General features: G+C 41.1%; 1 protein-coding gene and 1 non-coding gene across 11 annotated transcripts in view, besides 1 other annotated feature; both read right to left on the reverse strand.

The window, feature by feature from the left end:
- ZNF652 (zinc finger protein 652) overlaps positions 1-15,069 on the reverse strand; it is a 74,357-nt gene that overhangs the window by 33,449 nt on the left and 25,839 nt on the right. For 5 of the 10 annotated variants that reach the window (XR_934423.3, NR_135579.2, XM_024450656.2 and 2 more), the window contains one exon: positions 820-943. The exons of the other annotated variants lie outside the window; for them this stretch is intronic. The gene's annotated coding sequence lies outside the window, so the exon portion shown is untranslated. Of the gene's footprint in view, positions 1-819; positions 944-15,069 lie in introns of those variants that run through there. 10 annotated transcript variants of the gene reach the window in all.
- Positions 3,009-3,209: a silencer, noted in NCBI's record as "peak2884 fragment used in MPRA reporter construct". NCBI's record gives its function as "represses an SCP1 promoter by STARR-seq MPRAs in K562 erythroleukemia cells {active_cell/tissue: K562}" and the evidence as "EXISTENCE:reporter gene assay evidence [ECO:0000049][PMID:32103011]".
- Positions 4,275-4,336, reverse strand: LOC124904111 (U7 small nuclear RNA). Its single transcript, XR_007065985.1, has one exon. It is a non-coding gene; the product is annotated as a U7 small nuclear RNA (small nuclear RNA).

Genomic DNA, 15,069 nt, shown 5'->3' on the forward strand with positions numbered 1-15,069 from the left:
AGCCACACAGTGTGTTTTCAAAGCCACTGAGACCTTGCATTGTTTATTACCACAGCATAATTTGGCTTATCCAAGCTGCTACGAGTAGAAACCAGAAGTGGGGTGCTGCCTTACCAAAAAGCCTAAAATATATGATGAAGCCTTAGGAGCTGGGTGGAAGGAGGCAAGGAAAGTTATTGGAGGCTAAAAGATTAGCAACTTATATTATGCAGTGATCAAATGATCAGTGAAACTATCAGCTATCGCAGAAGGTAGATATTATACCATAAGAGCTAGCAGCTCTAGTGGGAAAATGGACTATTACAAGTGTGTTGTATTGTAACACTGTTAGTTATATTTAACAAATTATTACATGAAAAGGATGAATTCAGAAAATAATGATCAGTTTATAATCAAGAATAAAAGAAATCCAGAAAGTCAGGGATTTGCAGAGTAAGAACAGGCAAGTGCTTAATGTAAAACTGAAGTCTTTGATTTACAAAGCCTGAATATAATTCAGTCTTGAGGCAAGGTTCAAATCAAATATTTGGCTTTCACAATCACTGATTAAGATGGTACTCAATAAAATAGCTTTTCTAAAGAGACTAAAGATGAGTTCTGCTACAATGCATATTTCTCTAATGTGAATTAATTCAAATGCTATTAGTAAATAGGGAAATGATAGCAGAATAACTCAGAAATAATGTTAGTTTATACAAGATTTTCCCAAGTTTAATGTCTGAAGTGATCAGGAGCAAGCTTTCTCAAAATTACAAAGAAAGCAAGCCTTAGCAATACACGAAGACCTCAAGAAAAAAGCTAAACACTCTACTTCTATACCTTCCTTTAAGGCAAGCAATGGTTCATTCAGTGGCTTCATGAACAAAACTCTTTCCACTTTATATTTGATGAAGCTGAGAGAACAGTCACACCTCAGAGATATTGCCGGTTCGGCTCCAGACCACTGCAATAAAGCAAATACCTCAATAAAGCAAGTCACACAAATTTTTTGGTTTCATTGTGCATATAAGTTATGTTTACATTACACTATAGTCTATTAAGTATGCAATAACTTTATATCTTAAAATCCCAGCACTTTGGGAGGCTGAGGCAGGCAGATCACGAGGTCAGGAGATCAAGACCATCCTGGCTAACATGGTGAAACCCCGTCTCTACTAAAAATACAAAAAATTAGCTGGGTGTGGAGGCAGGCACCTGTAGTCCGAGCTACTCGGGAGGCTGAGGCAGGAGAATGGCGTGAACCTGGGAGGCGGAGTTGGCAGTGAGCCAAGATCGTGCCACTGCACTCCAGCCTGGGTGACAGAGCAAGACTCCGTCTCAATAAATAAATAAATAAATGTTAAAAATGTTAGCGATTATCTGATCCTTCAGTGAATCAATCATTTTGCCGATGGGGGGTCTTGCTTCAATGTTGATGGCTTCTGCATGATCAGGGTGGTGGTTGCTGAAGGCTGGGGTGGCTGTGGCAATTTCTTAAAATAAGACAACAATGAAATTTGCTGCATTAACTTATTCTTCCTTTCATAAAAGATTTCTCTGTAGGATGTGATGCTGTTTGATAACACTTTACCCACAGTAGAACTTCTTTCAAAATTGGAGTCAATCCTCTCAAACCCAGCCACTGCTTTATCAACTAAGTTTATGGAATGAATATTCTAAATCCTTTGTCATTCCAATAATGTTCACAACATCTCCACCAGGAGTAGATTCCATCTCAAGAAGTAGATTCCATCTGTTTGGGTTTTATCAAGAGATGGCAGCAACTCAGTCACCTTCAGGCTCCACTTCTAATTCTAGTTCTGTTGCTATTTCCACCACATCTGCAGTGACTTCCTCCACTGAAGTGTTGAAACCCTCAAAGTCATCCATGAGGCTTGGAATCAACTCCTCTAAACTCCTGTTTATGTTGATATTTTGACCTCTTCCTATGAATCACAAATGTTCTTAATGGCATCTAGAGTGGTGAATCCTTTCTAGAAGATTTTCAAATTACTTTGCCCAGACCCATCAGAGGAATCACTATCTATGGCAGCTATAGTACAAAATCAATTTCTTAAATAATAAGACTAGGAGGTAAAAATTACTCATTGATCCATGGGCCACAGAATGAATGTTAAATTATCATGCATGAAAACAACATTCATCCCCTTGTACATCTCCATCAGAGCTCTTGGGTAACTAGGTGCACTGTCAATGAGCAGTAACATTTTGAAAGGAATCTTTTTTTCTGAGCAGTAGGTTATAACAGTGGGCTTAAAATATTCAGTAAACCACGCTATAAACAGATGTGCTGTTATTCAGGCTTTGTTGTTTCATTTCTAGCACATAGGCTGAGTAGATTTAGCATCACTCTTAAGGGCCTCTGGATTTTTGGAATAGTAAGTGAACAAGGTGGCTTCACCTTCGAGTCACCAGCTACATTAGCCCCTAGCAAGAGAGTCAGCCTATCTTTTGAAGCCAGGCATTCACTTCTGTCAATGACAGTCCTAGATGGCATCTTCTTTCGATATAAGGCATTTTGTCTACACCAGAAAATGATCTTAGCTAGATCTGGATAACTTGCTGGAGCTTCTACATCAGCACTTGCTGCTTCACCGTGCACTTTTACGTTATGGAGATAGCTTCTTTCCTTAAACCTCATGAACCAACCTCTCTGCTGGCTTCCAACTTTTCTTCTGTAGCTTCCTCACTTCTCGGCCTTCAAAGAAGTGAACAGAGTTAGGACCTTGTTCTAGCTTTGGCCTAAAGGAATGTTGTGTTTGGCTTGATCTTCCATCCAGACCACTAAACCTTCTCCATCTCAGCAATAAGGCTGTTTCGCCTTTTTTATTTTATTTTTTTTTTGAGACGGAGTCTCACCTGTCACCCAGGCTGGAGTGCAGTGGCGTGATCTCAGCTCACTGCAACCTCCACCTCCTGGGTTCAAGCGATTCTCCTGCCTCAGCCTCCCAAGTAGCTGGGATTACAGGTGTGTACCATCACATCTTGCTAATTGTGTATTTTTAGTACAGATGATGTTTCACTATGTTGGCCAGGCTGGTCTCGAACTCCTGACCTCAGGTGATCTGCCCACTTTGGACTCCCAAAGTGCTGGGATTACAGGCATGAGCCACCACACCCAGCCAGCTGTTTCACTTTCTTATCATTCATGTGTTCACTGGGGTAGCACTTTTTTTTTTTTTTTTTTTTTTTGAGATGGAGTTTCACTCTTGTCACCCAAGCTGGAGTGCAGTGGTGCGACCTCAGCTCACTGCAACCTCCACCTCCTGGGTTCAAGCATTTCTCCTGCCTCAGCCTACCGAGTAGCTGGGATTACAGACATGCACCACCACGCCCGGCTAATTTTTGTATTTTTAATAGAGACTAGGTTTTACCATGTTGGCCAGGCTGGTCTCGAACTCCTGACCTCAGGTGGTCCGCCCACCTTGGCCTCCCAAAGTGCTGGGATTACAGGTGTGAGCCACTGCACCCGGCCCACTGGGGTAGCACTTTTAAATTTCCTTCAAAAACTTTTCCTTTGCATTCACGACTTGATAGTCTGGCACAAGAGGCCTACGTTTTGGCCTGTCTTGGCTTTTGACAGGCCTTGCTCACTAAGCTTAATGATTTCTAGCTTTTGATTTAAAATTAGAGAGGGGTGACTCTTCCCTTCACTTGACCACTGAGAGGCCACTGTAGAGTTATTAATTGGCCTAATTTCAATATTGTTGTATCTCAGGGAATAGGAAGGCTTGAGGAGAGGGAGAGAGATGGTGTAACAGCTGGTCTGTGGAACAGTATGAACGCATATAACATTTATCAATTAAGTTTGCCATCTTATATGAGTATGGTTTCTAGCACCCCAAAACAATTATAACAGTAACATCAAAGATCATTTATCACAGATCACTGTTAACAGATATCAGTGTTTGAAATATTGGGAGAATTACCAAAATGTGACACAGAGACACAAAGTGAGCACATGCTGGAAAAATGATACTGGTAGACTTGCTCCATGGATGGTTACAACAAACCTTCAATTTGTTAGCAAAGTGCAATAAAACAAGGTAGGCCTTCAGCCTGGGCAACATGGTGAGATCTCGTCTCTACAAAAAAAAAAAAATACAAATTACCCAGGCATGGTGCTGCATGCCCGTGGTCCCAGCTACTTGGAAGGTTGAGGCACGACAATTGCTTGAACCAGGAGGCGGAGGCTGTAGTGAGCCAAGACTGTGCCACTGCATGCTACTGTTTTTATTATGGTTAATTTTATTTTCTTTAATTTTTTTACTTTTGGGGGTTTTTCCACAAAGACCAGAAAACCTGCTAGACAAATTCTAGCAGAGTTGAAACATTTATTTTTGTTTTTATTAGTGCAAAGACTATGGTGTTCCACAGATTTAGAGTGGTTTGCCTCAACTCTATTTTTCCCATAAGTCCTGTTTACTTTAGTGCACGATTTTGCAGAATGGGGGCTTTTCGGAAAAGCATATATGGCAGTATAGCAGAAACATCTGTACTCAAAATTAAGTCAAGGAAGAAGTATGGGACCAATAAAGCAGAGCTATGTAGCAAACATAAGTATGGGCCAGGTACAGTGGCTCATGCCTGTAATCTCAGTACTGTGGGAGGCCAAGGTGGGAGAATTGCTTGAGCCCAGGAGACCAGCCTGGGCAACATAGCAAGACCCCATCTCTAAAAAAAAAAAAAAAAAAAAAGAAGTATGGTAAGAAAAGAACTGTGGATGTGGCTAGAGAACCTGGAGCTGACAGGAGACAAGCAAAAAGCCAACTCAGTTTTGAAAGTTATACTGCCAAAAGAACAACCAGCTTGGGCTAAGAGAGACTGTCACTGTTCAAGACCAAAGTGATCTTTGGGTTCTCAAGTGTCAATGACAGAAAGTAGGCTAGGAAAGGTATTCATCCTCCTAAGGGGGTATATCCCCCATTGTATATTTTGGACATGGCCAAGAAAGGTAATAGAAACAAAAAAGAAAAAGGTGGTCCATGAAGATGAACCTAGGGACCAAAGAAAAAACCGACATGTGAACTACTCCTCAGGGGCAAAATCAAGGCCTGTCCAAGAATATTCCCCACCCCTGGAGAGGGCCTTCTCAATGACAGCACAGAGGGATTTCAGAATTTGTTGCAGCTCATCAACTGCTCTATGTCTCCTATTCATACTCCTTTCAAACAGGAGTACTTATTTTTATTATCTTTTCACTATTCACTATTGTAATGTATACTGTATTGGGGGCAGCAGATCACTTGTCAATTTCTTTCATGGATCTCTGGATCAAGAAGAGCAACGTCTGGACCCAATGTAGAGACTGCTACGCATCACCTTCTCTTGGTGATGCCACCAAGCATCACACTGTTGCATCACTGAGGTCCTAGACTTTGAGCCTGATGCCATGATTTGATATTGTCAGTCCATAAATTTTACCAATCTATACCTTAGTAAACTCCTAGTCTGAAAAGTTGGGGCCAAGAAACTGTACTAAAAAACTGAAACGCTTGGTAAATTCTACTCTGATTTACAAAAAATGCATTTGGTAGTGGTTATAATTTGCATTTATATGATGCTTTACAGTTTACATAAAGCACATATATAGATAATTTTTTTTATTTTTTCACGAGACGGAGTCTAGCTCTGTTGCCCAGGTTGGAGTGCAGTGGCACAATCTCAGCTCACTGCAACCTCTGCCTCCTGGGTTCAAGCGATTCTCCTGCCTCAGCCTCCCTAGTAGCTGGGATTACAGGCGCCTGTCACCACACCCAGCTAATTTTTGTATTTTTAGTAGAGACGGGCTTTCACTGTGTTTGCCAGGCTGGTCTCGAACTCCTGACCTCGTGAGCCGCTGTCTCAGCCTCCCAAAGTGCTGGCATTACAAGCGTGAGCCACTGCGCCTGGCCTACCTAAGGCATATTTATCATATAATTGTTAAACATTTATGAAGTGCCTACTATGTGTTAGGTATTGTAGGAGTTGGAACCATCAAGGTGCTCAAAGATCTACCTGGGGAGACAGACATGAAAAATATAGCATAGCAGACCAGGCACAGTGGCTCATGCCTGTAATCTCAGCACTTTGGGAGGCTGAGGCAGGAGGATCGCTTGAAGCAAGGGAGTTCAAGAGTAACCTGAGCAACATAATGAGACCTCGTGTCTACTTTTAAATAAATAAATATATATATATATATATATATATATATATATATATATATATATATATATTTTTTTTTTTTTTTTTTAGTAGAGATAGGGTTTCACCATGTTGTCCAGGCTGGTCTCGAAGTCCTGGCCTCATGTAATCTGCCTGCCTCGGCCTCCCAAAGAGTTGGAATTACAGGCATGAGCCATCACACCTGTAATTTTTTAAAAAGTAAAAACACAGTATAGCAGTTAAGAGCACAAACTCTGAAACCAGACTGCCTGCATTAAAAATCTGGCTCTAAAACCTCATAGGTGAGTCATGACCTTGGGTAAGTTACTTCTTTATGTCTCATTTTCTGTATATGTACAATGGAGATAGTCGTAGTTCTACCTCATGGATTACTGGTATAAATGCTTATGAAAATACTTAGCAATAGTAAGCACTATTATAAGTATTTGCTAAATACACTCACCTATACACATAACATACAGTGGCAGTATGTGAAGGGAGGTGGTGAACAGGCCACGGGAAGTTTCAGAGATGAGATAAAGCTGGGGCTGGTCTTGAAGGACAAGCAGAAGTCAGATGGAGAAGTGGGAAGGTAAGAATGTTGCACACAAAAAACACCACAGGAAAATGACAGGAATGAAACCATGTGGGTTTTTTTACCTACTTATGCATGATTACCCTACAATAACTTGGAATGCTGATATGGTTTGGATGTTTTGTCCTCTCCAAATTTCATGTTGAAATGTAATCCTCAATGTTGGAGGTGAGGCCTGGTGGGAGGTGTTTGGGTCATGGGGGCAGATCCCTCATGAATGGCCCAGTGCTGTCCTCGAAGGAATGAGTTATTTCTTGCTCTGAGTTTACATGAGATCTGGTTAAGACTGTGGCACTTCCCCAATCTCTATCTCTTGCTTGCTCTTTCACCATGTGATACACCTGCTTCCCCCTTTGCATTCTGCCATGATTGTACACTTTCTGAGGCCCTTAACAGAAGCCAAGCAGATGTTGGTGCCAGGCTTGTACAGCCTGCAGAACCACAAGCCCAAATAAACCTCTTTTCTTTACAAATTACCCAGCCTCAGGTATTCCTTTATAGCAATGCAAACAGACTAATACAAATGCTGCTCCCATTTTACAGCTGAGGCTCAACTTTCCCGTTGTCATTGCTGGTAAGTGATGGAACAAGTGTTTGAATTCTGCTTTTCTAACTCCTAGTCCAAGTTTACCACACTGTCTCCTACTGAGTTAATGGTAAACAACAGTCTCAAAAGATGTACTTAGGTTTTTGAACAACAAAATACCTTTACAATACAAAGCAAATAACAGAATTCCAGACTCATGTTTGAGGGTGTAAATTTTATCCTTAGCTGGTGAAACTCATACCTTCCTTCAGAATGTCCAGAATGTTAGGTTAATTCATATGGATACATTTCAGTTTTCAAACTGATCCACCTGTAGTCTGGGTTTCACAGTAACCACTTTTAACAAACTAAAGACTCAAAATTTAAAGTATATTTTTAGTTCATCTTCTTGCAACAAAATGGTAAGCTTTCAAATGGGTAAAACCTAAATAAATTTGTCAACTTTGAATTTTGTATGTAAAGTAGAAGTTATAGAAACAAAATTTACATTGAAAAGGGTTTTGTTATTACAGTATCAACGCATATTTATAAATGTCCTTCATTTCCAAAGGTGCTCACAATATCGACCTGTAAATAGAAAAGCTACCAACATCAACTTGTAACAGTCATCTTCACAACAAACAAAAACATCAAATGTCATATATCACTGGGCCTTATTTTGGATAAGCATTACAAGCTGTTCTCAGATGCATACATTTTATATGGTCAAGAAACAGAACTACAGTCTCATCTAATAAAAATGTAATATGTCAAACAATTTTTAAGCAGTCCATCTAATCCACTCTCTGTAAGAAGTGGAATTGAGAAATGCTTGTCACCTTCAGTTTTAGACAAAGCTTTTATAAAAATAAAATTTCATTGTAGTTTTTTACACACGCATTTAAATGAGACTGCCATTGTGTTTCCTCAACAATATGCAAGTGCAACTAGTAAAAGAGGACAAAGGAGAGACGCACTCTTCCTAGGTACTACCTAATTACCTTCAAGCATCAACAGTTTCTACATTTCCATATAAGATAATACAAACTAATGTGCATTAGTCATTACACAAGTCAGCTGAAGCAATCTTAACTTTCACCAATAAGCACCACGCCCAGGGCCAAAGAAGAAATCAAATACTAATTAAGCTATACCACAGGACCGACATGATCACAATGTATATTCAGAATATTTTCCCATTATTCAATTCCATTCACAAATGTCATCTACAGATAGGAGAATATAACTTGAAGCAATTTTTAAAAAGAAGGTAAGTTTTGTGTGTACTGTTGCCATCTTTTCTGTCAGAATCAGACAAAGTACTGGCTCAAATAAAATTCAGTGCCCTTAAAACCAACCAGAAGAACATATTTACAAGATATATAACCTTGGAAGGTCTCAGTCTAGCCTTAACCAAAGGTCACTATATGGAATGCAATTATTTTTATTTTTGCAAAAACGTGGGCTATATTATTATTTTGAGATGGAGTCTCACTCTGCCACCCAGGCTGGAGTGCAGTGGCATGATCTCAGCTCACTGCAATCTCTACCTACCAGGTTAAAGTGATTTTCCTGTCTCAGCCTCCTGAGTAGCTAGGACTACAGGTGCACACCACAGCTAATGTTTAATTTTAATTTTAATTTTTAGCATGACTAATTTTTAATTAGGTGCATGCCTGGCTAGTTTTTTGTGTTTTTAATAGAGATGGGGTTTCACTATGTTGCCCAGGCTGGTCTTGAACTCCTGGTCTCAGGTGATCCACCCGCCTCGGCCTCCCAAAGCGTTAGGTTTACAGGTGTTTACAGGTGTGAGCCACCACACCTGGCCAAAATACAATTAATAAATGGAGTAGTCCATTTTTAAAACAGCAACTATATCAGTATCTTGATCGTTATTAACTGATATCCTGCCTATTAACTTTATTAAAAAAAATCAGAGGCCGGGCACAGTGGCTGACACCTGTAATCCCAGCACTTTGGGAGGCTGAGGCAGGTGGATCACCTGAGATTGGGAGTTCGAGACCAGCCTGACCAACATGGAGAAACCCTGTCTCTACTAAAACAAACAAACAAACAAACAAAAACCAAAAAACAAAATTAGCTGGGCGTGGTGACACATGCCTGTAATCCCAGCTACTCCAGAGGCTGAGACAGGAGAATTGCTTGAACCCAGGGAGGCGGAGGTTGTGGTGAGCCAAGATTGCATCCAGCCTGGGCAGTAAGAGCAAAACTCCATCTCAAAAAAAAAAAAGAAAAAAGAGAAAGAAAAGAAAAGGGCTTATGAATGTGTCTTTTTTTTTTTTTTTTTTGGGACGGAGTCTCGCTCTGTCACCCAGGCTGGAGGGCAGTGGCGCGATCTCAGCTCACTGCAAGCTCTGCCTCCCAGGTTCACGCCATTCTCCTGCCTCAGCCTCCCAAGTAGCTGGGACTACAGGTGCCCGCTACCACGCCCGGCTAATTTTTTGTATTTTTAGTAGAGACGGGCTTTCACCGTGTTAGCCAGGATGGTCTCGATCTCCTGACCTCGTGATCCACCCACCTCGGCCTCCCAAAGTGCTGGGATTACAGGCGTGAGCCACCATGCTTGGCCAAATGTGCCTTTTCTTAAACTCCTAAAGGTAACACCACAAATTAGAACTGAGATATATTTATCAGGTGTAAGTATAGGTACAGATGTTCACATTGTGGCTACCTATGATATAATCCACTATGAGAGATGTCAAATTGACTAGATCATTGTGAACCTGAATTTAAAACTCATTTAGAAAATGAAAATAACTCAGATATGTCTTTATTACACTCTTGTATTTTATAAAAAATAAAAAAATAAAAAAATAAAAATCACAAATATTTTAGATTTGTGGATAACATCAGAAAATGCTGGGAATTTATTTTATACATTTGGCCTACAAAAAGACAAAGGAGTGTTATTGTTTTCTCATTAACAAAAATTTTTTGACACTTCAAAAATTAACATTTTGTATAAAAATTAGCCATGCATGGTAGTGCATGCCTGTAGTCCCAGCTATTTGGGAGGCTGAGGCAGGAGAATCGGTTGAACCAGGGAGGCGGAGCTTGCAGTGAGCTGAGATCGCAGCACTGCACTCCAGCCTGGGTGAGACAGTGAGACTTCGTCTCAAAAAATAAAATAAAATAAAATATAAAATAAAAGGCTGGGCATGGTGGCTCACACCTGTAATCCCAGCATTTTGGGAGGCCAACACCTGAAGTCAGGAGTTCAAGACCAGCTTGGCCAGCGTGGCAAAACCCTGTCTCTACTGATAATACAAAAATTTAGCTGGTGGTGGTCACCTATAATCCCAGCTACTTGGGAGGCTGAGGCAGGAGAGTTGCTTGAACACAGCAGACTGAGGTTGCAGTGAGCTGAGATCGCACCACTGCACTCCAGCCTGGGGACATTGCCTCAAAATAAATAAATAAATATAACATTTTGAAAACATCTTAACTGAACTAGTCTTAAACCAAGAGGTATGAATAAATAGTCTAAAACAAAAATATTTGAAACCAGGTAGGAAGTTTTAACCCAAACATAATGTATGCAAAACATAGCCAACAGAAAAAGACAAATTGCTAACACACCTCTGCCTTTTCCTTCCCATAAGCCTGTATGTTCCCTCTCCGATTCTTTTGAAATATACAAATCCTCTCTCTCCCAAAAGGAACACACACAATTTTACAAACAATTTCAAGGGATCCACCTATTCCCAGAAATCCATCCAAGGATTCTCTAGGGGTCCCAAAACCCCAGGCTAAAAACTCTCATCACAGAGCAGATTTTACCTTTCCTTGTGATATATATTTAACTTTTTTTGAAGACAGAGGTCTTGCTATGTTGCTCAGGCTGGTCTCAAACTCCTGGCCTCAAATGATCCTCCTGCCTTGGACTCCCAAGTGCTGAGATTACAGGTGTGAGCTGCTGCACCCAGCCTGTAGTATATATTTACTTAGACAAAGTTTGTAAATTAAATTTTTCTCTACCTCTTTCCTTCTTCTCCCTACCCCCTTTTCTTTCAGTTTCTCCAGCATATCTATGGTCAGAAATGAATTAACAAAACTCATGCCTATAGTCTTAGCACTTTGGGAGGCTAAGGCAGGAGGATCATATGAACCCAGAAGGTTGAGGCTACAGTGAGTTATAACTGCACCACTGCACTCTGGCCTGGGCAACAGAGCAAGAAGACCCTGTCTGAAAAAAATAATAAAATAAAATAATTTTTTTTTTTTGAGACAGAGTCTCGCTCTGTCGCCCAGGCTGGAGTGCAGTGGCGCGATCTCAGCTCACTGCAAGCTCCGTCTCCTGGGTTCACGCCATTCTCCTGCCTCAGCCTCCCGAGTAGCTGGGACTACAGGTGCCTGTCACCATGCCCAGCTAATATTTTGTATTTTTAGTAGAGACGGGGTTTCACCTTGTTAGCCAGGATGGTCTCGATCTCCCAACCTCGTGATCCGCCCACCTCGGCCTCCCAAAGTGCTGGGATTACAGGCATGAGCCACTGCACCCGGCCAAAATGAAATAATTTAAAAAATTAAAACGGAAAGAATATGAAGACATTTCTCTAAAGAAGATATACAAATGGGCCAGGCGTGGTGGCTCACACCTGTAATCCCAGCACTTTGGGAGGCCAAGGTGGGTGGATCACAAGGTCAGGAGATCGAGACCATCCTGGCTAACATAGTGAAACCCTGTCTCTACTAAAAAAAAAAAAAAAAAAAAAAAAATTACCCAGGTGTGGTGGCGGGTGCCTGTAGTCCCAGCTACTTGGGAGGCTGAGGCAGAAGAATGGTGTGAACCCAGGAGGCGGAGCTTGCAGTAAGCCGAGATCGTGCCACTGCACTCCAGCCTGGGCGACAGAGTGAGACTCTGTCTCAAGAAAAAAAAAAAAAAAAAAAAAGAAGATATACAAATGGCCAATGCGTAAAGGAAAAGATGCTTAACATTATTCAGCATTAGTGAAATGCAAATCAAAATCTCAATGAGATACCACTTCACACCTACTAGGATGGCTATAATAAAAAATTGGAACACAGCAAGTGTTGGTGAGGATGTGAAGATATTGGAAGCCTCATATGTTACTGGTAGGAATATAAAATGGTACACTGGAGAACAGTTTGGCAGTTCCTTAAAAAAAAAAATTAAACAGTTAACATATGACTCAGCAATTCCAGTTCCAGGCATAAACTCAGGAGAACCAAAAACATGTTCATACGAAAACTTGTAAACAAATGTTCACAGAAGCATTATTTATAATAGCCAAAAGGCAATCCAAATATACATCAACTGATGAGTGGATAAACAAAATATATAATCATACAATGGAATATTATCTGCTATAAAAAGGAATGAAGAAGTCAGGTGTAGTGGCTCATGCCTGTAATCCCAGCACTTTGGGAGGCTGTGGTGGGATGATCACTTGAGCCCAGGAGTTTGCAACCAGCCTGGTCAACATAGCAAGACCTCGTCTCTACAAAAAGTTTTTCAAAAATTAGCTGGGTGTAGCGGTGCACATTTGTAGTCCTAGCCACTCAGGAGGCTAAGGTGGGAATATTGCTTGAGCCTGGGAGGTTGAGGCTGCAGTGAGCCATGATCATTCCACTACACTCCAGTCTGGGCAACAGAGTGAGACCCTGTCTCAAAAAGAAGAAATGGCCGGGCATGGTGACTTAGGCCTGTAATCCCAGAACTACGGGAGGCTAAGGCAGGTGAATTGCTAGAGTTCAGGAGTTCGAGACCAGCGTGGGCAACATGGTGAAACCCCATCTCTACCAAAAATACAAAATTTAGCTGAGAGTGGTGGCATGCACCTGTGGTTCCAACTACTTGAGAGGCTGAAGCAGGAGAATTGCTTGAACTCAGGAGGCAGAGGTTGCAGTGAGCTGAGATCTTGCCACTGCACTCCAGCTTGGGAGACAGAGCAAGACTCGATCTCCAAAAAAAAAAAAAAGGGAATGTAGTACTGATATGTGGTACAAGATGGAAAAACCCCGAAAGCATTATGCTAAGTGAAAGAAGCCAGACATAACAGGCTACCTAGTTGTATGACTCTATTTATATGAAACAGCCAGAATAAGCAAATAGAGACAGAAAGTAAATCGTCATTAACAGGAGCTGGGAGTAGGGAGGAGGGGGGAGTGACTGCTGATGGGCTCCAGGTTTCTTTTGGGGGCAATGAAAATGTTCTGGAATTAGACATAGGTGATGGTTGCACAATCTTGTGAATATACCAAAAACTGCAGACTTGTATGCTTTAAAATGATAAATTTTATAGTAAATGAATTATATTTCAATAACAAAATCAAATAGGCTATTTGGATATAAATAGTTCAAAGGTGATCTGAAGTAATAAGATCATGTGAAAATAAATTATGATATTTTGTATAAAATGATATTATTGATTTACTGGATAGCTCATAAACTGCAACCTGGTCACAGTGCTGAGAATCAACAGATCTGGATAGGCTCTATTTGGAACTCTTCCATACTGCTGGGCAGGTTATTTCACCTTTCTAGCTCTCAGTTTTTTCAGCCACGAACTCACGGGATTCCCTTCCACGACTGACATTTAATGTTCTACAAGTTTGTGCTGATTATTTGTGTCTATTCTGTTACCTAATTCATCTGGTCACCTATTGCCACACAGGTAACTCCCAACTTTTCAATATTAAGGGTTATCACACACCCCTTACCCCACCCTACCCCACCATGTTCTCTCTTATTATTAAAAAAAAACTGTGTCTAAGAATTTGCATTGAGGTCATACTTTATTTGTTACTAATCAAATATATATATAACAGCCAGTTATGATATTTTGGTTACACTGTAAAGTGTTACCATAATTTCAATTCAACTCTTTGAACACAAAAATTAGCTTATGAATCTCAGTTTGGAGATACTTGGGTTAAGAAAACAGTCCACAGTCTTTAAATAAATATGATGCTTGATGGAAATGACCCCACAACCTTAACCATGGAATAGGTAGGTTTTTCTAAACACAACACAGAGTCCACCACACTTTCTTAGGGTAGACAGAGATGTGAGCACACTTAACACCATTCCTTGGATGATTCTATTCATAATCCTCTGCCTTAGTCAGAAAGCATTTAAGGCAATATGCAAAAAAGGATGTAGAAGAAATCCATGAAGCCTAAGACCTGTCATATCTATTGTTACCTTTACTTTTTTTTTTTTGTTTTGATACAGAGTCTCCCGCCATCGCTCAGGCTAGAGTGCAGTGGTGCAGTCTTGGCTCACTGCAACCTCCGCCTCCTGGGTTCAAGCAATTCTCCTGCCTCAGCCTCCTGAGTAGCTGGGATTACAGGCACGCGCCACCATGCCCAGTTAATTTTTGTATTTTTAGTAGAGATGAGGTTTCACCATGTTGGCCAGGCTGGTCTTGAACCCCTGACCTCATGATCTGTCTGCCTCGGCCTCCCAGAGTGCTGGGATTACAGGCATGAGCTGCCATGCCCAGCCCTTTTTTTTTTTTTTTTTGGAGACAGAGTCTCACTCTGTCACCTAGGCCCCGGCTGGAATGCAATGGCATGATCTCAGCTCACTGCAACCGCTACCTCCCAGGTTCAAGTGATTCTCCTGCCTCAGCCTCACAAGTAGCTGAGATTATGGGCATGCACCACCACGCCCAGCTAACTTTTGTATTTTATTAGAGACAGGGTTTCACCATGTTGGCCAGGCTGATCTTGAACCTCTGACCTCAAGTGATCTGCCTGCCTCAGCCTCCCAAAGTGCTGGGATTACGTGAGCCACGGTGCCCGGCCTTTTACTTTT

Source organism: Homo sapiens, chromosome 17 (assembly GCF_000001405.40).
Source record: "Homo sapiens chromosome 17, GRCh38.p14 Primary Assembly".
In the NCBI taxonomy this organism is placed as follows: domain Eukaryota; kingdom Metazoa; phylum Chordata; class Mammalia; order Primates; family Hominidae; genus Homo; species Homo sapiens.